We start from the raw sequence: 23,600 nt of genomic DNA on the forward strand, positions 1-23,600 counted from the left end.
CAGGATTTCACCATATTGGCCAGGCAGATCTTGAACTCCTGACCTCAAGTGATCTGCCTGCCTTGGCCTCCCAAAGAACTGGGATTACAGGCGTGAGCCACCGTGCCCGGCCTTGAAGACGCATTTTAAATCTGAGATGTGATTGATTTAAGTTAAATGCTTTAAATTATCTGCAATTAGCAATAAGAACTCTGATAGAGAAAAAGCAATATCTTAGGGCAGATGAACATGGGCTGGGACAAAAATAAGGGGAAACAGAAAAGCTTAAGAAGGTACCCAATGAGAGACCAGAAATCCACCCCACACTAGAATAGACTCAATTTTCTTTGACACTCTTGGCTAAAGCATGTGTTTGTGTGTGTATGACAAAAGTTTTGTTTTAAACCAAAATCTTGGGGAAGATATTGTATATTAATATCAAAACCACATGTGTAATATCTGTAGCATTTTTGCATATAACATATTATAACTGCAGTGGAAAATGCATATAGATTTCATTTCATAGGGTAGTTTCAACTAATCTCTCTTTTGTTTTCCTACTCATTTAAAAGTATTTTTTATTTTAAAAGTAAGTTGAAAAACATATTTTTATTGCTTTCTTGTGTGAAATTGGAGAATTCAAAAAAGTACAACAACCTCAAAATCACATTTTAAGAAACCAGAAATCTTTATCTCATAATTGAGAAATGTCCACTATAAAATGTTTGGTGTACACCTTTTCAGCCTTCATTTCTATGTGTTTTTTTATGTTCTTAGTGACTGAACTGCAATACCTTTTTGAAAAGAAAAGAATCATAACCTTTTCTTTTTGCTTACTGGTAGTACATCATAAGATCCCCCCTACCTTCAAGTATTAATATTTCAGATATTTCCTCTTTGATGATGCTGCTTCAGTTCCTTGTAACCAAATTTGTGTCCCACATTAGGGATGATTTTGTCAATAAATTGGGAGGTTGAGGCTAAAAGATTTGCCAATTTTGGAGATTTTTGATAAATATTGCCAATTTGCCTTCCAAAGAGTTTGTGTTATACTTGCCAATTTATATTCCCACTAGCAATGCTTCTTTATCTTTCCAGTACTAGGAATCATGAATGTTTACCAATTTTATAGAAGAAAAAAGTAACTAATTGGTTATCAGTACATATTTTCTTATGTATTCATAGTTCGTTTATATTTTTTTGTGTGTATGTTTATTGCTTCTTTAAATTTTTCCCATATTTTTGAGGATTTTACACTTGATTACTTTATAAAAGAATCTTTATAATCTTTTCATTATTATGTAAATTTTTCATTTCCCTATCAAATTTATGTTTATATAATTTTAATTTTTATGTAATCAAATTTATTTTTTCATAATCATAATGGCAACTATTGAGTGCTTATTATATAATAGTTTCTGTATATTTTGAAAACATTATTTCATCACTGTATGTTAATTGTATGAGTTAAGTACTCAGTTACTTCTACTTTTTTACACAAGAAAACTGAAACTCAGAGAAGCTAAAAGGCTAGCCTGAGATGACACAGCCAGTAAGAGGTGGAGTTGAAATCAGAACCCACACACTATGACTGGTCTTGGCCACTATGACACACTGCTTTTCAAATGTATTCTGAATGCTTCTAGGTATTTTGGTTCTAATTCTGAAATTTGTATTCCACTACTTGATCTGTCTGATTGATGTCTTACCCCAAAGTCACACTGTCTTAATGTTTATACATTTATAATATGTTTTGATAAGTCAGAATATGTTTCCATTTTTTCTTGGATCTTCTTATTTCTTTTACCATATAAAGTTCAGAATCATTTCATCCAGTCAGAAAAAAACAAGGCCTCTTGGGTTCAATATAGTTAATTTGTAAGTTAATTGTGGCAAACCGATATTTTTGCACAATTAAACTGTTTTATTTAGGTATAAAGAACAGATTCTCTATCCTCAAGCCTTTAAAGAGATTCTCAGTACAATTTACATTACTTGTCTGGTTTATTACTAATTATTTTATATGTATGTTACTATTGTGAATGGAATTCCTTCGCGTTGTATTTTCTAACTCTGGGTTTCCCAAGATGTCCCATGAGTAGCGCTGGTCCCAAGATATGATTTGGGCAAAGGGTTCCAACGTCTACAAAGCTGAGGAAACACTTCTCAAACCCCAGGTACATGTAGCTGGTGAAACTTTTAGAGGGGTTCAGAGTATGAAATGCCCAAATTTATTTAGTACAGAAATGTAATTTTGAGGAGTATTTTTAGATTTTAAAGGGACTGCTCTTTCAGACAACACACTCTGTGAAAGTCTGTTCTGCAGACTTTCATTACTAAGTAATGATTTTTGCCTGTTTCTTTGAGACAGATATTTATAATCATAGTAATAAAGTATCTTCGTATTTCTAGGCATATCTTTGTTGGCATATAACTAGATGATTATATGGGTTTTTTTCTGTTTTGAATTATTGATATAATGGATTAAATAATAGAAGTCTTAACATTAACCCAATATGCATACAGAAATAAAAAACGTAATAAGTCCGCCAATTTATTATCATGCTTTTAATGTAGTGCTGAGTTCAATTTATCAATATTTCACTTAGCGTCTTGTACTCTTATTTATAAAGTAAATTTTCTCCTTTCTTCCCTCTTGTGTTTCTTCCCTTCCACCTCCCTTTTCTCTCTTCCTCCATTCCTTTTTTCCTACCTCCCGTCTTTCTTTTCTCTGTCACGTTTTTGAATCAGAGTTAAGCTACCTTTACAAAATGAATTGAATAGCTTTCTATAGTTTTTCTTTCCAGACATGGAAATTATTTGAAACTTCGAAAGAATTTTTCCATAGAATCAAATGTTCCAAAGCTTTTGAAAAAAAAAAAAAAAAGATTAGAGAAAATTCTGTTAACTTTTAAAAGAATTTTCAAGACAATGTAACTGCTTAGGTTTTGTATTTCTAGACCCAAGTTTTTGTAGCTTATCTATTACTTACAAAATGTTTATTCCATCTAAATTTTTAAATATACCCACACAGAGATGCAGAAAGTATTCTTTTATTAAAAATACCTCTTATTCAGCATATATTTATGTATTCGTTTGTTTTCTCTTTTTTCTTCCAAAGAGCAACTCTTTATTTTTCACCTCTATTGTTTTTCTTCTAGCTCATTAATTTCTGCTTTTTATAAAAAAGAAAAACTTGTTCTTACTCTCCTAGATTTGTTTTCCCCATCTTCCTGTGTAAAGGTTTAATTCACTTATTTTCATTTTAAATGAAACAGAAATGAAGGCCGGGTGTGGTGGCTCACGCCTGTAATCCCAGCACTTTGGGAGGCTGAGGCGGGCAGATCACTAGGTCAGGAGTTTGAGATCAGCCTAACCAACATGGTGAAACCTCGTCTCTACTAAAAATACAAAAATTAGCCGGGTGTGGTAGCGCATGCCTGTAATCCTAGCTACTCAAGAGGCTGAGGCCAGAGAATTGCTTGAACTCGGGAGCCGGAGGGTGCAGTGAGCCGAAATTGTGCCATTGCACTCCAGCCTGGGTGACAGAGCGAGACTCCATCTCAAAAAAAAAAAAGAAAAAGAAAAGAAAAAGAAAAAGAAAAAAAAAGAAACAAAATGAAAAGCTATAGTTTTTTTTCTTTAGTTATGGTTTTGATGATCCTATAAGTTTTGATATTGATTACAGCATGCTGGCAAATCCAGTTCCATCACTTACTCTCTTTGTGACCTTAAGCAAGTTACTTCACCTCTCTGTGCCTCAGTTTGTTTAACCTATAAGAAAAATATTAATGTCCACTTCAGAGTTTTAATGAGGATTACATGAGGTAATATATGCAAACTAATTTTAATAGTGAGTGACAGATACTAAATACTGAACAATGCCTATGATGCTACTTTTTATTTTCTTAACAGTCTATAATTTTAGTCTGAATGTCGCTTACCTCAGTTATTAGGGCCTTAATAATTTTTATCAATTGCTAGCTTTATTACATGGCAGCTAGAGAATTCAGCAAATAAAATTTGTGGCAATGTAGCTTTGAGGTAAATGAATGAATGAGGAAGGAAATTACATTTATTGAGCATTGTTTGACATTGTATTACACATTTCTGTTTGTTTTCAGAGCTCTATTATAGGAATGCAAGGATCTGATATATGTTGATCTGTTCTCCAACCCTGCAATTTTTTTACTGTGATACTCTACTGAAATTTCCTAACGCGTATTTTATCTTTGGAACACACACATACACATACATACATACATACACACACACACACACACACGCATCCACCACCTTTCTGGGCATGCACACCCGCTTGGCTCTTTTCCAAAAAGTAGTTTACTGAAAACAAGAGCAAGATGTTATGGAATTACCTAGGTACTAAAAAGATATTCCTAGTATTCATAGATTTGGTATTGGAAGAAGAAGTTGCTTTCTCACAGTATTTTTAATGACTTAACAAAGAAGGGAATCTTACCTCTAAAGCTAATTCCAGGAAGCATTTATCATGAAAAACCTAAATAATGGTATGTTAGAGAACTGAAGGAGATGTGGGTCAATATTTAACACCCATATTGCTTGAGAGATGGCTGAATTGATCTAATCTGGTGTGTGCTGAAAGGTCTTTTTCAGCTAAAATATTCTTTTTATTAGCCTCCTTGATTACTTTTTTTAGGACACGAATTCTCAGTTTGGGTTGCTCAGTGAGCAGCCCAAAAGCTGGCTGGGAATTTTTAAAAATATACCAATGCGTGGGTCTTCTCTCAACCAAATGAACCAGAATCACAGTGGATTTGAAAGACTTGGGCATCTTATAAAATGACCTCCAGATGACTCTAGTATGTAGCCATAGTTGAGAACCACTGGGCTAAGATATTATATCTCCTTAAAGTACCCAACAGAAACGGCATACTTAAACCATTGCACAGAATCTTAGCTATTAGCTTTGAGTCATCTGCCAGTTTAGCAGAGAATTGAGACTAAAAGGCTAGGCTCTGGGACAGATACACTTTATTGCACTGCAGCTAGAATTGGGGGCTGGGATGGCGGTTGTTAGAAAAAACTTGGAGATTGGAGACCTAGCCAGAAGGATAGAACTGGACAGGTACAAGCATAAGGGGCATTGGGAAGCTATCGCTAAGGTAGGGACATTGGGGCATAGGGAAGACCCCGTGGGCAGGGAATCAGATGGAGGAAGTGGGTTGCAAAGTGGAGAAGGAAGAAAAAGGGAAGTAATGTCTTAGCCAGGGCCTAAAATGCACAGGATGCTGTGCTAAAACCTTCTGCAGACCTGAGCTCTCCGAGTTCTCACAACAAACCTGTAAAATAGGAGCTCCATGTTAAAGTGGGGAAATTGGGGTTTAGAGCCATTAATCAACTTTTCCACTAACTCGGTAGGCAAGGTGGATTTCAATCCATGAGTGTTCCTCTAGCCAGGTGTTTCTCTAGTGTGGTGCCAGGAACCCTTTGCATCAGAGTCACCTGGGGCCTCACCTCACCTTCCCCAGACCTCCTGAAACTGAATCGTGGGCCCAGGAATGTGAGTTTGTGACAAGTTCTTGGTGTGATCATTCATTATGCCTCTGAACGTCTGAGGCCCAATGTCCTAGAACCCAGCTTTTGTCAAACTTGAATGAGCCTATGCATATCCTCGGGGCCATGCGAAAATGCAGAGGCTGACTCAGTGGGTTGGGGGTGGGGCCTGAGTTTCTGCATTTCCCACAAGCCTCTAGACGATGCCAAAGCTTTGGCCACCCAGAACACATTTTAAGTAACAAGTTCCTCTACCATGCTGCCCGACCTCATTCAGGCTAAGGCCAAAGCCTGAATCCCAAACAGTCAGGATTCTGCGAGCAGCTAGACTAGCCTGGACATTCAAAGGCTGTGACTGCTAATGGCTGCTCAGCTGGCTTCCCTCCAGGGGAGCGGCTCCGCTTGCTCATCTGTCAGAGGGAGAAGCCAAAGCCATTGGCGAGCACCTGCTCCGAGCCCTCAGGAAGCCAGCGCTGAATTTAGCCCCACAGCAGCCGAGCTGCCCAGAGACAGGATTTGCAGACAATTGCCTCGAACCACAGTCAGGCGCAGGCCCCAGCACACGGCCTGTAACCAATTCCACAAATGCCAAATGACTGGCCCTGGAAATTGCAAAGAAAATAGCTAGCCACCAGGAGGTGGGGGTTGAATCTTTTTATTATTATTATTTAAATCAGTACAACATTTGGGATCTATTACCAGTGATTTAAGGTTTGCCCAGTGTGTGGGCTTTATGGGATTTCCCCTTTATTTGGGAGTATTTCAGATTCAGGAGTTTAATTCTGTTACCTTCTTTCCTTGATCACAAAAACAAAGGCACTGACCGATAACTTGTTACTCCATAAGGAACGAAATTGTGTTTCTCTGTTATCTCAAAAAAAAGGCTTGGTTCTTTCTGAAAAATTAATCACCCTATCTTTTACACATTTAAGCTCCTTGGCATTGCATGGGAAATTATCTGTTCCACACTTGAATCAAGCAAAAGCAAGTCCATATGCCCGGTCCTTAATCTCTCTTAGTTTTCTTCCAATTAGATGCAATCTTTTTCCAATACTCTAATTAATACTTCCACATTAAATATTAGGCCTTGTAAGAGAAAAATCATCTGTAATATAGTCGTATCAAGCCAAACAGGATTTTCAAGCTCTTGCCCTTAATCCTTCTTTCAATTTTCTGCCATTTAGAAACAATTTTTCCCCAACACTCTAATGAATGCAAATAATATTCGTGATTAGTTAGTATTATGCTAATCTGAGCCTGGAATTTACCTAAATCTGCATGGTGTTGTCTGAGCACCAGATTGCTTTGGGTTTCTGAGGAAAATTACATTAGCCTGCCAGATGCACAAAACATGATAGAGTAGAAATCTGAGCAAATAATCAAGATTACATTAGTTTTGTTTCTTAATGAACAACTGTTGGCATTAGGGATTACAGACAAATTATGGGTTTCCTCTCTGAGCTCAAGCAGCTAAGCAGCTGTTGTGAAGGTCCCCTTTTTCTGACTACCCCTAAATAGATTGGGAGCCACTAGGGCAGGAGGAAAGCATCTAAAATTTCACATAATTTAATTTGTTCCATTACAAAGTAATCATCACTCCAAGGCCCACAGCTAACCTCCAAATTTCCCCCCACCAACCTCTCTCTGGAATGCAGGAGCAATTCAAGTGAGTATCTGGGGCAGAAACTCAATGTGTTTGTCTTCTCTCCTGACTTGCAGGGATGTGGGTTACATGCCTCCAAGGCGTACCTGCTTTCTGTACCCTTTGGGCCACTTTCCAAAAGGGTGCCTGCTTATTCCTGCTACTTGGATGACACAGATGGAATGCTGCTGATAAGGATTATGTAGGTAACACAGTACATCTGGCCACAGTCTAATAGGCTGGATAAACCAGAAACTTGCAGAAACAGCAGCCATCTGAGCTTAGACCCTTGTCCTATGTTACTTGATCTACGTCTGTGAAGTTTCACTATAATGAAATCCTTGTCCTGCAGTGGATGTGTGGTGTGTGGTAGCGGTGGTCGTGGTGGTGTATGTGTATATGTGTGTGTAGATAGGGTGATTTAATAGCCCATGGCCCTGTTCTTGGACCTTCTTTCTTTACATCAGTCAGCAAAATAGCAGGGCTCTTGGTGTGGATTTTTTTCTGCCTAATTTAAGTGCCCTCACTTACAGCATGATGCCTTTTTCCATGGGCTGTTTCCCAGTTCAGAGTCATGCTCTCTCTTGCCACTGGACCTTTGCATATGGTCATCCCTCTGCAGGAATTAATCTTCTGCTCTCTCTTATTTGCATCTAAAGAAACTGCACCAGCTTCAAGATGAGTTAGGTGCCTCTGTTATGTAGCTCCAAGTCAGGCAATACTGCAGCAACAAAAGACTTATTGCATTGTCTTCTAACTAGATGTAAACTCCACAAGGAAGAGCACTAAGCCTGCCTTGTTCATACAGCATTTGTTATAAATACACTATAAAAAATTTTGAATGGAATAAATATATTTATGCAGTTACAAATGCAGTGTTGATAAGAAACGTTTGGGTCTATATGCCATTGGAAATATGGATGGCCTAAATGATAAGACATTCGCAACAAGGTCATCATAAAGATATTTTTCTATAGAGGCTAGCGACTTCTCAATCTATGGCCATGGCCCTGTGTTTTGGGGCAAAGTAGGCAATAGAGGCTAAGTGTTTATGGATACAGGCAACTCATGACTTGCTCCAGCTGGCTGAGCAAGGTTACCTTGAGAACTGAGCTTCTTTTCCTGCCTTCTGTACCCATCTCTGTCACAATTCCTCACAAACTTATAGGCCCATTGCTGGTAAGAGTCTTCCTGATGAATGCCACCCATTATTGAACTAACAGCCCAGGATCCCCAGCTGTCATCATAATCTAGTATCCAGTGGTGAGATTGTGGATAGCCTAGTGGGAAACAAAAAACAGAGTGGATATGAGAAAGAGGAGTAGAAAGAAGTTATCTGTTAGGTCCACCTTCCATCCCTACTCCTAACACCACTACTTTTGTCCTGCAGTTTCTGGGCTCAAGACTACGGAAAGAAACTCAAGAAAAAAAAAAGAGAGAAGAGAAACCAAGTTGTAGAGGAAGGGAAGCTGAAGAACTACTCCCTCCTTTCCTTGCCAGCAATGGGAAAATGAAAGACAAATGGGGTAGAGAGCATGAGAAGTAGAGATCTCTCCTTCACCCTCTTTGCACTCTCCAGGAACCTCAGGCCATATTTCCAATTCCCAACTTCCCTCTCTGGATCGGAGCAGTGGAGTCTATGCTCAGCCACTGGGAGATGGGGGATTCCCACTCATCTGCTAAGAAGGGGGCTATTGGAAGGAGGAAGGGGAAAGTCCAGGCCCCAGTTGCCTGGAGCCATTATTGCGCCTGGTACACTGTGGGTGAAATCATCTTTGATGGGTCCTTTTGGACCCATTGCACTTATCACAAAATTGCTAATGAACAGCTCATTTTTAAGTTGTGTGTATGGTGGTGATGGTGGGGTGCCTCTGTGAAAAGCGGGACTGGCTTTATTTATAAATTCTGTGTCCTGGGCTCTCCAAGCACTAACAATGGGCTAAGAGACTAGAACTTAAGGCAAGCTCAACCTCGTTCAACAAGTCTGATGGTATCGGTGCTTGTATAAGGATATTGAGTGCCAGGAAGAGAAGTTGAGAGAGGAAATATAATGCTAAGTAAGATTGGATCTCTGCTTTCCAGAAGTTTATCATTGAGTTTAGGGGAAAAATGAAATTAATGACATAAGGAGTAAATACACTAAACAGGAGCTCAGAGTCTGGAAGAAATCATTTTCTCAGAAAGGTAAGCAAAGTCTTTGTGGAAATTGGTTGAGCCTAAAGCCACTGACTTAACTGCTAAGAATCACTTCTCCTAGTAGTAGTTTCTGTTGTGTGTTTTCTTGGCGGGGGGTTGGGAGGCAGGGGTTGTTTTTGTTTTGTAACCTTATTTGTGTCTTTTCTTATTTGTATACTTTATACTGTCAGGCATTTTACTGCGGTGCGTTGTGCTTATGCCCTACTTAGAGTTAATTACTATTAGCATGAGGACCCAATATATGCCTGGCAAAATGGTTTATGAATAAAACTCATCTAATCCTCACAACAATCTTACTAAGCAGATCCTGCTACTACCCCCACAAAACAGCTGAGGAAACTGAGTCACAGAAATGTTAACTCATTTGCTCAAGTTTACCTAGCTGGGCAATGGCATATTTGGGAGTTGAGCCCAGATAGTCTAGCCTTAGATGCCTAGGCCCTTAACCATAATGCTATTCTTCCTCTCTACATAACCTGAAACACTCTCCAAAAAGTATTTTTACATCCCATACTCTCTCCCATTTTAATTTTAGCTTCCCCTTAGTTCTCTACGTTATAAACATGATAAAATTCAGATTGGTGAAAATATGAAGTCCATATTCTAAAGAAACTATTTATAATGTTTAACTTTCCTTCATTCACATGAGGATATGTGAGGCACAATAGATATTATCTTACACTGCACCTAAGATTTCCTTCTACTAAAAATTTCAGGGAAAAAAATAACTCTTTAGGAAATACCCATTCTATCTATCTAATTGTAATTTTATCAAAAGGCCATTTCTTCATGTTTTCAATGACCAATTAAATAGTAATTATGAACTACACACATTTTTTCCCTGAAACTTTCCAATTTCATTCCATGACCTTATTTACAAAATAAGGGTCTGTCTTAATAGGTGCTATTTCCCTAATGATCTAAGATAAGAATTCAACATGCATTATGAACACAGACCCAGCCCGGCAGGCATTACTTACTCTGCACCCAACCTGTCCTTCTTCCAAGGGCTGACTGACTTGTACTTAGAGCAGCTCAGAGGAGAAACACCTCAGTGGAATGTTCTGCAGCGGTGCCACAGACCAAGATCACATTCTGCAAAACAGTCACTCTCTTCCAATGAGTATGAAATTCCTTTAAAAGGAGGGGCTGAAATAATGAAAGACCTCTAAACACAGGAATCTGAAGCACTTCTGTGCAGATATTAAATTTAGCTTCTACAGAGAACTTTTGCATTCACTCAGTATTTTCCAAACCATGTGTCATGACCCATTAGCAGGTCAAGATATCAATTTAGTGAGACAGCACCTTCATTTAAAAAGATGAAATAGAATAAAGTAGAAAACTAGTAAATGTGCATTTCAGGTACTAAGGGTAAGGCTGCTTCATGAATAGATTATTTCAGTTCTATGTATAAATGATGGAAGGCCCAAAAAGTGAGAAACCACTGACTTTCCTTTGCTTCATTTACAGTGGTTCAAAAAAGTAGTCAGGACTCAGAGGTTAAATGGCTCGCTTATGCCTACAGACCAGTTTAGGGACATCCATCTGGTTCTTTGGATGCTCAGCTGTTTTTCTACTGCCCCATTGATTCAGGACAAGAAAATGAGGCTGAACAAAAGCAGCAATGACACCCTATTCACAAAGTGGTGGATGATGCTTCTGCATTGACAGGAAGAGTGGCTTTAGTGAGCAGGACAAAGAAAGATTCAGAAGTTCTCCACCCTTTCAAATTTCTTGAAAGGAGATTGAATAAAATTATGCAGGAACTATTTTTTAATATTTCACAAATACCATTCGAAAATGGTAGGTTTATCCAGAATAAGGTTCTGTCCTCTAACTAAAAGGTCAAATCTCTTTGATTTGGGCTAGAAGTACATCAACTCCATGTGAAAACACGGCTTGTAATGTTCTGTTCAGAAGTCCTTTGATGTCTTTGGTTAATCATGGTGTTATGGGAAGTGCCAATAACCTGACTTTTAATCCTGGCACTGCCCATTATCAGCCGAGTAAGCTTGGACAAACTATTTAAACTCCCTGGGCCTCAGTATTTTTCTGCTGTGAAATGGGAATTACATATACTTTTCAAGGTTGTTGCAAATTGTTATTTAATAATAAGATAATATATGCAAAGTACCTAGCAGAGAACCTGGTACATCGGAGTTCTTTGTGGATGGTGATATCTGAAAAATGCAAAAACAGCTCACAGTTTAATACATGCAATTTGTTCAGTTAATGGAATCTTTCAAAATATAGGCTTGGGTGGAAAGATAATCAAAGAAGCACCTTTTGGGACAATGTTGAAAACTGTTACATTAGCAATCACTCAGTCCCTAAATGATGCCTGTTTGCCCAGAGATTGAGGTGCTATCCCTTGCGTGGGGAGATGGCTTTGGCCAAAAGGCTTTGAATGCTCAATAATTATTCACTCTACCCATTGGTAGTCCTATGGCCAGGAGTTTAGAGAATATTCATCAATTCCTCAGCAGTATCTCCCCATATCCATGCTATTGTTTGGAATTCCCTATGAAAGTTTAGGAGAAAGCCAATCTGGCACAAGCAAATGTTTTCAAAGTGTCTGATAAGAAGAGAACATGTGAGGGAAGTAAAGTGAAGGGAAACAGCCCAAACTGACAAATATGGCTGGCCTGCCTGGTCTAAGCTGATTGATTGATTTTTTAATTAATTTATGATGGCACAACAATAATTACAAGCTACTGTTTGTCAGCCAAATCACTTGCGATGAAGTCAAAGGTTTACATCTGTGCGAAGGTCCCAAGGATCAATGCATCAAATTAGCTCTGTTGGCTTTTTTCCCACTAAAAACTAACATGTGTCATCAATATTCCAGCGTTTATGTGTGTAAACTAATTGATTGAACATTCATGCTACGTAAACATGTGGTTTGTATTATGTGGGGTACCATTTATAAACATCTTTGGTGCCAATAAAATGAATAGCCTCACATACGATAATTAACATCTTATTGGAAAAATAAAATAACAATTTAGTGTTATTTCTTCTATGTATGGATAAAAAAAAGCATTGTTGTCTCTTTTAAAGTCTTTGTTATTATTGTATCACATAGGATTCCACGATTCCACCTAACAGGAAACCAGAGGAAATACTAGAGAAGGTGAACGAAGTTTGCGTGAGGTCATTTAGGACTATCGATAATAGCAAACTACCTGGAATTCTGGAAAATCACAATAACTATTATCCCCTGCAGTGCATGCTAGAGCATATATGATGTTACTTTGAGTCTCATATTCTTCCACCTTTATTGTTCAAAGTCCAAACTGGAGAAATGAAAGTTTATTTCCTTCCGCATAATTTTCATCAGATTAGCTGTCAGCATCAGCATTGAACCTTGAAATAGTAAGAACTGTTGAAGGTGAAGACTGCTTATCTTGTAGACACAGCTCTTTCCCTCCTCCTTCAAACCAGAGGCTCTGCTCTAGAAGGGAGAATGGTGCTCCTGGTTCTAACAGTGACTGGAGTGTTTGGGAGCAAAAATAATAATCCACAATCAAATTTTTCTCCCTTGTGTCTCTACCATCATTTCACTTTAAAATATCTGAAAATAAGCATGAGAGAGTTGAGGGAAAGAAAAGTTTCTGCTGGTATAGAAGGGTAGTGTCTGGCTGAGAGGGACCTGATTTTTTTCAGGGGCCTCCAGAGTACTCTCTCAAATTTACTTCATGAGAGCCCTGAGGAAAAGTGGGTCATAAGAGTAGGGCAGGTGACTTTTCGGGCTCTGGAGATTGGGCTGCAGAGTTTATAATACCTGAGCACACTTGGTGTTGGCTCAGCTTTCATGCAGACACCAACTTACAGTGGTCAAAGCAGGGCTGAATCCAAATGGAGTGCTTTTTAAACTTTAAATATCTCTTTCTCAAAATTATTTATAAGCACGTACTTCTTCACAAGTGATTGGATACTTTCCTACTCACTTTCCCACAAACCCACACCTCTCCACAGTCTACCCATTCTACTTGAGGTTTCTGTTATTCCTGCGTGTGCCTCTGAACTCTCACCCAAACACTGAATGTTAAAATGCCAGCCCATGCCAGAGACCTTCCCGACATCGCCATAAATGTAAGAATTATGGGGAAATGACTGAAGCCTTACACTGGAAAAATAATCAATCCTCTTAAATGAAACTTATTTCGTCAAAAATAACAAAATATACAAAAAGCTCATTTATTCCAAAGTCACTTTGCCTTGATCATTTATCCCCCAAATACATTAACCTTTTCCAAACTCTCTAACTTATTAGACCCCTGAACGATCTCAGTCAGTCCGATAAAAGAATTGCGACAGTTAGAGATGACGTTTGCTGACAAGGGTGACAGGTCCGTCTGCTGCCCTACCACTTCATACTGACTGAGCTTGTGTGCTTGCAGAGAAATACAAACTTATTGCTTTTGCTATGGGCCTTCTTCTTACTCTTACCTTCAGTTTTAAAACTTGGCTGTTAATTTCATCATAATTCCAACATGCCTCTAGTACATTTAAGTTTTATCTGGAAAAAGACGGCATAACAATTCATAACTTGGGCCCACAGATTTGAGTTCATTACCATTGATCAACCCAGAACTTGAGTGCTCATTGGATTCCCCTCTCTATTAGTAAAATGGGATAGCAGCAGTCTTGATGCAATTTAGCAATTATTCATTAAGGGCCTTTTAGGTACAAAATGCTGTTTAGGGCTAGTAAATAAGATGTGGTCCCCATCCTCTTGGGGCTTATAATTTTGGTTGCACACTTGAGCAACTAAATAATAGAAGGTAAATCTTATATTCACACATAATAAGTGCCATATAATACAGTAGACCCATTTATATTAAACATTCATACCTATAGCATAGAAACGTATCAAATGTGCTAGGGTGTTTTCTCTCAAACAGTTGCTGGTAATATTCTCTCTCACAACCTTGAAAATAACAGAAAAAAAATCCCATTTACAACATAATGTACTGTTCATCATGTGACCAGCTAAATCTTTCCCATTATAATATAAGCTAAGTGTGAGTTAAAATAATAATTTCATTTAAGAATGATTAAGAGTCTTTTGTGGTACAAGCTAAGGTGCAAACTTGGATCAATGAAAAATGTGAGTTGAACCGCAAAATGGCACAGGTGAAATTTTTAAGAATTTCATGCCTTCTCATTAAATGTACAAAAAGAGGTGGTAGATATTATCACTACTGTTACATGAGATGTTGGTGAACTAGCAGTGCATTGTTATCTGAAGGATTAATACTTTTGAGTTTAGCAGCAGAATTTGCAGATAGCATCATACAACGTTTTAGCAGCTGGCATTTCCTCTGTTGGCTGGTGAGAATTTACCATTATATCACACTCCAGAACACCGGCAAAATTCTGGAAAGCTTTTCTTCATCCACCCATGTTTAATATCACCAGATAATAATATGTATACCTTAGATTTGTTTTGCATTTTACAGTTTTCAAGTCGTTGACTGTGTATTATCTCATTGGAGCCTCACAAGAGCTCCAGGAGGTAAACAGATATCATCAAAACCTGAAAATGGAAACATTTTGCTTGCCAATTTCTTTCCAAAAAATTTCCCCCAGATGGCTTATGACTATAGCGAGTCTAATTGTCTCGAGGAAAGATGAATGGAATCGCATTTCCAAAGAATTCAACTACCTCCAATCCCAGAGCTCTACAGTTCTCAGACACAGCTCTGGAGCGAGTGTCCTGGCCCATTTAACACAGAGGGAGAGCTGAGCCCCAGAAAGAGGCATGAAATGGCGCTGGAGGGGCAGACTGATGTAAAGCAGGCAATGGTCAAACACCTTACCATGGTCACCAATAATTAGTTATAACCCAGATCATATGGGTGAAATAGTCAATGGTTGGGTTCTTGGGAAAGAGCAGAGAAACTTTATTTAAACTTTGAGGGTTTTCGTGTTCTCTCCTCTTCTCCCCTTATCAGTGGAGTGCATTTCAGCAAGTTGCTTAACCTTGAAGTCGAGTGGCCTCCCCTGTAAAGTGGTTCTGGTAATGTCTATGTTATTGCTCTGTGCTGAAGACTGAAGGAGATGATTTATATAAATTGCCTTCCAAAGTACCAGGCAAACACCTGGCAAAGAGGAGGCCCTCCGTAGTCATTGGTTTCTTTTACCCTTAAAATCATGGTATTTAATGATGAAAATTAAGCTAATGTGTAACATTAGCCATTGGATCTTGCTAACCATGAGAAAATATTTCAGGAGTCTCTGTTTTTAAGAAATCTGCTACAATTTGAAATGGAAAATCCTGAATTTTTATGATTCATTTAATGTATGCAGTTCCCACAAAAATGTTCATGTGAATTTTTAAAAACTCAACATGATTATGAAAACCCCATAGGAAATGTTATGGTTCCATTCAAATAACACACCGTGTTATTTGTGTGTATTTTGGGGCACCTACTAAGTGCTCAGACCTGAGACTGTATAAATAGCCACAATTTGTATTAGCCCCCTTGGATATGTGTCGTGGACCTTGTATTTACAAAGCATTCACCAGGTGCCTCGCCGACTCCATCTCATTCATCCTCACGACAGGTTGGAGCGACATGTAATGAGTATGATTATCTGCACTTTACAGCTGCCTCTACCAGCCGTGAGAGGAGCAAATTCATTTGCCAGAGGTCACCAAATCTACATTTCCCAGGATTCAGCCCTGTGCTCATAAACATATCCATTATGTTCTAACCTCAGAAAATGAACATAGTATGTGAGAAGTTAGAAAAAAAAAGCTCTCTGAATAAAGTCATATTTTTAGGGAGGTGCTGGGGTAAAATTAATGTTAGAACATTGAGAAATGGAAATTGTTATTAAAGCTGTTTATTACATGATATGTTAAATCTGTTCCATTTATAAAGCATGCTTAGTGTAAGTTGAAATAATAATAATGATCATAACGAACATTTCCTGAGTACTTTCTTTTCTCCTGGCTCTTTGCTAAGCATTTAAAATGCAATAAAATTTAGAATTCTTAAAAGTTAATAAAACATGTAGCATAGCTACATATATCCCTTAGCAGAACTTCTTGTGAAAAGAACTTTTGCACTGAATATCAATATCCTGACTTTTTTGCACATTGAGACGCAACAGGGGAATGTAATTCTCTTTTCCTGCCCTGCTAAATTTTCCTATTTCTGAGCAGACTTTCTCACCCCCTCAGAACAATATGTATTACAAATCACAGCATAGAAAATAACAATCTCGGGGAATTTTAAAATGCCTAAAAATAGTGATTGACATCATTCAGCCATGTTACAGAAATATGCTGTAGTTTCAATGATGTCGTGAGCATCAGATATCTCTCTTTGTTGACTAGTCTCTAAACTGGAAAATCAACACCAGCTTTCCCATAGATAGAAGAGATAACTCTCCTTGAGAACACGACCCTTTGCTTCCAAAAAAGAACTGGAAAAGAGGATAGGCAGGCACTTGTGTTTCCTTACTCTCTGATTAAATTAATAACCATCTAATCACTGTTTATTAAGATAGGATCTAAGGATACTTTTCTTTATCCAAAGTTTACATGTTACATTATGCAGGCACATACATGAAAATAAATCATGGAAAATGAAATAAAAGTCATTCCCACATAAGAAAGTATCTTGGAAGAAGATTAATGTATTTTACCACATCTTCATATAGTTCACTTGTATTTAAATATGCTAAAATGGTACCACAAATGAAAATGCAACACTAAAGAACATAGGTAAGGAAGACATGAAAGAAAAAAGTATAATTTCTCTGTGACAAAATTTGATATATTAAAAACGAATTACTATTATTTACAGATGTTAAAATTTTCTTTTTACTCAGATATCATCATCGTTGTTGTTGTTTTACTCAGAAACTAGTATTCGATAAACCATTATTCTTTATCTATGTCATTAATTGTACAGGAGATAGCTTAGAAGTAATAGTAAAATTAACATTCACCTATGGGTCTAAGAAAGGATACTGAAAAGATGTACTAATTACCATGACACTGAGTGATAAATCTGCAAAGGTATTATAATAGCTATATAGTTAGCAACATTTTAGAGAAAACAGAAATTATTCAGAAGCTTTCATTAATATGATGTCGATCACCCCCCTCCATAACACTGTGACATGGGTTTGATTCCAGAATGGGGCGATAGGATTGGTCTCCTCTGCACCTTAGAAAGAGCCTGGCATATAGTATGTTCTTTACAGGTATTTGTCAACTGAAACATAAATTTTATAGTTTCAAATTCTACAAATAGATCCAATATTTAGACATAATATCTTTAGACAACTAGTTGTTATGGTTATTATATGTATGGTATGGTATCTATTAGTTTCTACCACATTTCTACATTTCCATATTCAATTACATTTCTAGAAATTAAATACAATTTGAAATTAAATAAATATTGAATTTTGATTTTCAGATATATCTTTGCATGGCTGGTAGATTACCATAGGAGTCTAGCTGCGGTTATTAGGTTAGGCAGAAGTTTTCTAATATATATATTTAGCATATTTATCAGACTCTTTAGAAATTCTTTAGTTTTTAGTAAAAGAAAATGAAATACAGACCGTAACATATACTAGTTTCAGCATTTATCAGAGGATCTATTAATTTTAGGATTTTCAGTTTAAAATAGTCAATTATATATCTTTCACTTCAACTTCTCAAAGGCTTCAGAGAAATGTTTGCTGTGAAAACAATCTTTTCAATGTGGCCTACATATACTGATATTATTGCCAAGTTGTTTAATTAAAATTAACATTGAGAACAAAATTTGATTATTAAAACAGCCTAGCAAACAATTGATGGATTTAACACTTTTATTAACATTGTCTTAAACAAAATAAGATTATGTGAGGGTACTTGGTTCACTGTTTTAACACACTAACTTCTCAAAAAGTAAAAATGATTTTCTTTCAAGACAAATAAAAAGCACATTACAACTGAGCAGACTGATTGGTGTTCAACAAAGAATAACCTTGGATAACAGAGGATCTAGCCTAGTGTTTGTGCTTATATGCCCATTCACTGTGGTTACTATTTACAAGACTACGAGAATTTCAAGTTGCATAGACTGGCAAATTAATTTTCAAATTAATTTTACAGATTAATATTCAAATAATTACCCTTCATGATTAAAGTAAACTTACAAATGTTCTGGCCTGGTTCTGATGGGATCAAATGATTAGATTTATGAAAGTTGGAGAAAAAAATAATGTCTGGTGCATACCTGCTACTCTGAAGTTCCAAATAGCTGACAAAGAAGTTCTACTAAGTCTCACAGAGAGCTTTAAATGTGAAGTACAAAATAGAATGGAAAGTCCAAAAATTGTTTTTGGTAGTTTTATTTATGAGTGCTTTAAAAGGAAACATATAGCATCATCAATAACCATTAATGAAATAGTGCTGTTTAGGAGATATGTCTTTAATACATTCCAAGTGGTATTTTTAAATAATGTGAAAGGTCATCAACAGAACTCTAAATATAGCCAAGCAACGGTAATTTAAACTGCTTACGCGATTTTTCTCCTTGAAAGAAGTCACATACAAAATCATCTAAAGAAGTAAAATATATAAGGATGCGTCATTTTAAAAACTGAATGTAGGTAGATGATATTTAACACACACACAGGAGTTTACTCTTCGTGTACTTGTTTATTTTTAGCTGTCTCAATAAAATGTTTTTCCTCCCTCTGTTTTACTAAAACATGCCTGTCTAGGAAGGAAAACAGATGTAGAATTGGACAACTACGTCTTGTTTGGGCTTTTTCCCTGTCAAGTAGAATTTATGATCATTGTCACACAATAAGAGAATCTAACTGAAACAGACAATAAGTCAGGAAGCAATTGCCTGGGTACTTTAACACTGCAGCTTTGGAATTCAGGATCTGGTTACTAAAATTTTATTTGATTAAGCCAAAGAAGGACACAATATCCTTTCTTACACAAAGAGCCCAGAGTTATTATAAAAATAAAAGAATCAGTGTCACGGTGAGAGAAGAATCACAATAAACGAGTTTGTAAGAACCTTAAAACACATTTAAAAAATCTTCCTTACATCCACAACAGGGGAACCATGTAAAAGTAACCGCCATGTATTCTGTCTCTCTTCTAAATTCTCTCTCTTCCAATGTATTACTAAAGATAAGCAATCATTTAGTTTGATTAATTAGGTTTTCCACAAAGCATCTGTCATTCCAAGTTTTCAATGACACATTAAATAATAATCCCTTAAACACTTTGGTGCCAAAATAACAAAGTTTATTAAAACAGAATGGTCCCAATAAGAAACTTACGTACTCTTCATGTAACCTAATGAAGATTAAATACCAAAATAAATTACGCAATAATTTTTAGCCTAATATTTTACCTCTGAACTTGTCCCTGTACACACTCGGCATCTTCTCAGCAATAAAAGACCACAATTTCTAAAAACGAACAATCAGCTTATGCAAATCTTTAGTAATAATATTCACAGCCTACTTCTCTTGAGAAGCTGCAATCTGACTGTACAGAAGTAGAATGGTGAAATTTAATGTCAAAATATTAATAGTGATTGGCTTACTATACCCATCTTAATCCCAGTTTTTCAGTAAAATTGTAGAGAGTAAACCTTTTTACTTTTCCCCAACAGAAAATGTTTCATTTAGTAAGAATATTGATTTTAAAACTCACTTCTTAGAACAACGTAAAATGACAGTTAAGAGGCAGGGTAACTATTAAAACATCACTTCCAAGCCTTGGTATTGTCACAGAAAGCAAATCTTTTACACAAACATTTCACAGCATTTTTCCCCAAGCATCTGCCAGTTGATTTCACCATGTACACGCACAGTACTAAAGTATAGTAAGAGATACAACCATAAATAACAGTTTGCCACTTTAGAGTTTATATCACTTGTAAAATCTATTTCATCAGGAATAAAATAGGGGTGAGGGGAAAGAGAGAGGGAGAGAGAGAGAGAGAGAGGTTTCTGTCTCTCCTTGAGGAACTGGCCTTTCTTTCTGAGAGTACTCAAAACAGCAACAAGTAGCAGCGGCAGAAAAGTTCTCCTGCAGGTTTACACATCTCACATTAACGAGAAAGGGTGCAGAGAAGGACTCAGCTTCCAGGGAAGCTTCCCTGAACGTTGAGCTTTCACGAGACGCCTAGGATCAACAGCATAACATCCACCTTTCAGGAAATTCAAACACATTCATAAGAAACCCTCTTGCCTGGCAATGCCAGAAGCCAGGACTAATCAGACCAGGCTTCCTTCTGTCCGGGCACAGTGGATGAGCTGACCACCAGGGCTGGCCATACCCCTCCCCACCTAGAATAAAGTGCCCATTGTCTTCCACTGTACTAATTGTGAGAAAAACGGCCCTTGTAGTAAGCACAATAATTATCGAAGCAAACGAGTAAAAGCAATCAAGACAGAAAAGGAAAGGGGCAAAAAGAAGAAAAAAAAAGAAGAAAAAGAAAATGAGAAAAGAAAGTAAATGTTCAGATGAATGAACCCAATGACGAATTTAATAGTCATATGAAATGCTTGCCTGTGGAAAGGGTTCCCCATTCTTGTCACGACTATTGCATACAAGAGACCATTGTCCACACAACAGAAATCAGTATGTTGAAATTTATCATGTAGCACTTTTTGGATGTGAAAGGTTTTCTTTCCCCAAACTACTACCTCTCATCCCAGCACTCTGATTACAGAAAGTTACAACTTCTCTCTTCCCAATATTATGTTAAAAGTTGAGTCACAGGATTCACCAATATCCCTCCCTGAATTTCTATGCTCCTTTCCTTCTTCCCCACATTTGCAGCTGGACAAATATAAGAGGGGAAAAACAGCAACAACAAACCCACACACATTTGCCTGAGCAAAGAAAAATAATGAACTGAATATGCATATCCTCATTAACTAAATTTAATTACGCTGAGTGGCATAGTAATCAGTGGTTGCTCCAGTTACAGTATTCATTGAAAGGGAGGTGGATTCCAAATTAAGGCAAAGCGTGGGGGACAGTCGCATACTGATGAGGGAGCCGCACACAACATGATACAATACACTATCTAAATCATTATTCAGAGGAGCTGCAGAAAGAAGTACATTACTCTGTTTTAAGACCAATGCAAGAACAATTAGCCAAGAAGGCTCCAATCCCCTACTGACTGCCCCACCTCCATCTATTTCACAGCAGCCGGCCTGGGACCGACTGTACCATTTGCATTTTTCTTTAAAAAAAAAAAAAAAGGGAACAAAAACTCATGCTGCCTTTTTAAAAAGAAGGCCTATGCCCCCGGCCACAATAGCAGGGAAATCCTATCTAGCACACTGGTGTGCAGAGGCACCCCAGGGTCCCAAAACTTGAGCTTGAACTTTCCACAGGCAGCGAACTTTATAACACGTGCATGGAACAATAGAGGAGGAGCTCGAAAGGAAGAAGGGAGGGAAGTTTTGGGGGTGGGTGAAAAAAATGTTATTACGCCAAACTTACCATCCACCAGGTCCTGGCTGACATGTCATAACATAGCTGCCATTTTATGGAGCTGTCCGACGTTTTCCCAGCCATTATGCTGTCAGCAACCTTCATCAGATGCAGCTCAATGGAAGATAAGACACCTAATCAAGAAAACATCAGCGGTGGCTTGCTGGACTACATGTAGGCCAATCCTTATCACACTGCATCATGGGAGAAAGCTCCTTTATTAGCAGGAGGAACTGCAACCTCACAGATAGAAAGACAAGGATCAGTTCTTTTGCCTTTTTTTTTTTTTTTTTTTGGTCTGAAGGGATTGGTGAAAGTAGCTAGCGTTCTTTGTGTATCATGTGTACAAGAGTTAAGTATCTTGCAAGTGGGCGGCTAACTGCTTTGCTGGGCGATGCAGACTAAAGTTTATTTGCATTCTTCTCTGTTGTATATTGTTTGACATGGTCCATGGTCCTTGCTGAGCAGATGAAGGGAGGGGAGGGGGGTGGGAGGGAATGAGGAGAGAGGGAGCTGTAATTGCTCAGAATTCATATCTCCCCAACAAAGACATAACAGTTTCATTGACACAGTCGGAACATGGTTCAGATGTCACTGCACACACGGGCGTGCGGGTGTGTGTGAGAACACTCACACGCGCACACACACACAGTGGAACACACAGGTAGCAGCTGCAGCTGGATTCAGCTGAGGTTGCCAAAGGCTACAAACTCCATTCTCATGCTGGACATATGGAAGCAGTTTAACTCTTTGAAATCACTGTTAAAGAAGAGTCCTGCAGTCTGGAAGGATAAATCAGCCTTGAGAACAGTTTCTCAACCAGGAGGCAATGGGCCTGGTGCTTCCTTCCTTCTGAAGATGGCCTAGAAACATTATTTCCTTCATCTAGAGAAGAGCTGGTCAAAAATGAGGAGGGAGGAGTAGGGTGTGCCCAGAATCTATCTGACTCTGGACATGCTCCCTCACTTAGTCATTCTGTCATACTCTCGGGAAAAAAATTCTTTATCCCCTAAGCACTGATCATTTCTGTTTCTTCCTGGACTTTGAACTAGTCCTTCCAATAAGCACACACACAAGTCAGGAACTAACATTTACTAATAAAACAACTTGCTCTGAACAGCCTTTTTTTTTTCTTCTGAAGAGTAAAAACCTGAATACTGCAGGGAGAATCTTAAAGAATCCTGCCACTATAATAAGAAATCCAGACGAGGACAAGTATATTTATTCCTGCTTTTTTCTTTTGCTAAAATACAAAAAGGCAAACACATCTCTACAAATGGTGCTGTTGATTATTGGAGCCCCTATTGTACACCACGAAATCCAGGCAACCTTTTTTCATTGACACGTAGTCATTCTGCCTTCCGTATGCCCTGCTAATATTTTCTGAATGACTTTCAGGCTTAGAATTTACATTTTCCGCAGACAATTTAAAAGGACAAACTCTTATTTGATTCAGTCAAAATGAAGGGAAAAAATTGCTTTATTACCGGAGTTTTCTCTGTGTGTGAGGCAGAAGAGGCAACTTGTTTCAGCCTGTGAACTTCAAAGAAGAAAAGCAACCGCTGCCGAAGGGCTCTGTCCTTTGGGTATTTTTATATTCACCTGGGGAAACATGTCAGCCACAGTCTCAGACAGGACAGGCGCTTAAGGTAGCCTGACTCTGGGCTGGCGGCAAAAGAACCTGCCCTTCACCGACCAGCTTATCCCCTCATGGCTGGCGATTCTTCTGTTTCTCCCTCCTCCGGT

The 23,600-nt window shown here is 37.9% G+C and overlaps 1 protein-coding gene and 1 long non-coding RNA gene across 5 annotated transcripts in view; both read right to left on the bottom strand.

The window, feature by feature from the left end:
- Positions 1-21,994, bottom strand: part of NFIB (nuclear factor I B) — a 450,235-nt gene extending 428,241 nt beyond the window's left edge. For all 4 annotated transcript variants that reach the window (NM_001369468.1, NM_001369462.1, NM_001369459.1 and 1 more), the window contains exon 1: positions 21,864-21,994. In NM_001369468.1, coding sequence (NP_001356397.1) covers positions 21,864-21,959 — 96 coding nt within the window. In that variant the 5' untranslated portion in view covers positions 21,960-21,994. The remainder of the gene's footprint in view (positions 1-21,863) is intronic.
- On the bottom strand, positions 6,154-10,368 carry LOC124902120 (uncharacterized). The gene is made up of 2 exons (XR_007061419.1): positions 10,333-10,368; positions 6,154-8,436 (listed from the first exon to the last, which is right to left on the bottom strand). It is a non-coding gene; the product is annotated as an uncharacterized LOC124902120 (long non-coding RNA).
- Positions 21,995-23,600: the final 1,606 nt, after the last annotated feature.

Source organism: Homo sapiens, chromosome 9, assembly GCF_000001405.40.
Source record: "Homo sapiens chromosome 9, GRCh38.p14 Primary Assembly".
NCBI classification, from domain to species: Eukaryota; Metazoa; Chordata; class Mammalia; order Primates; family Hominidae; genus Homo; species Homo sapiens.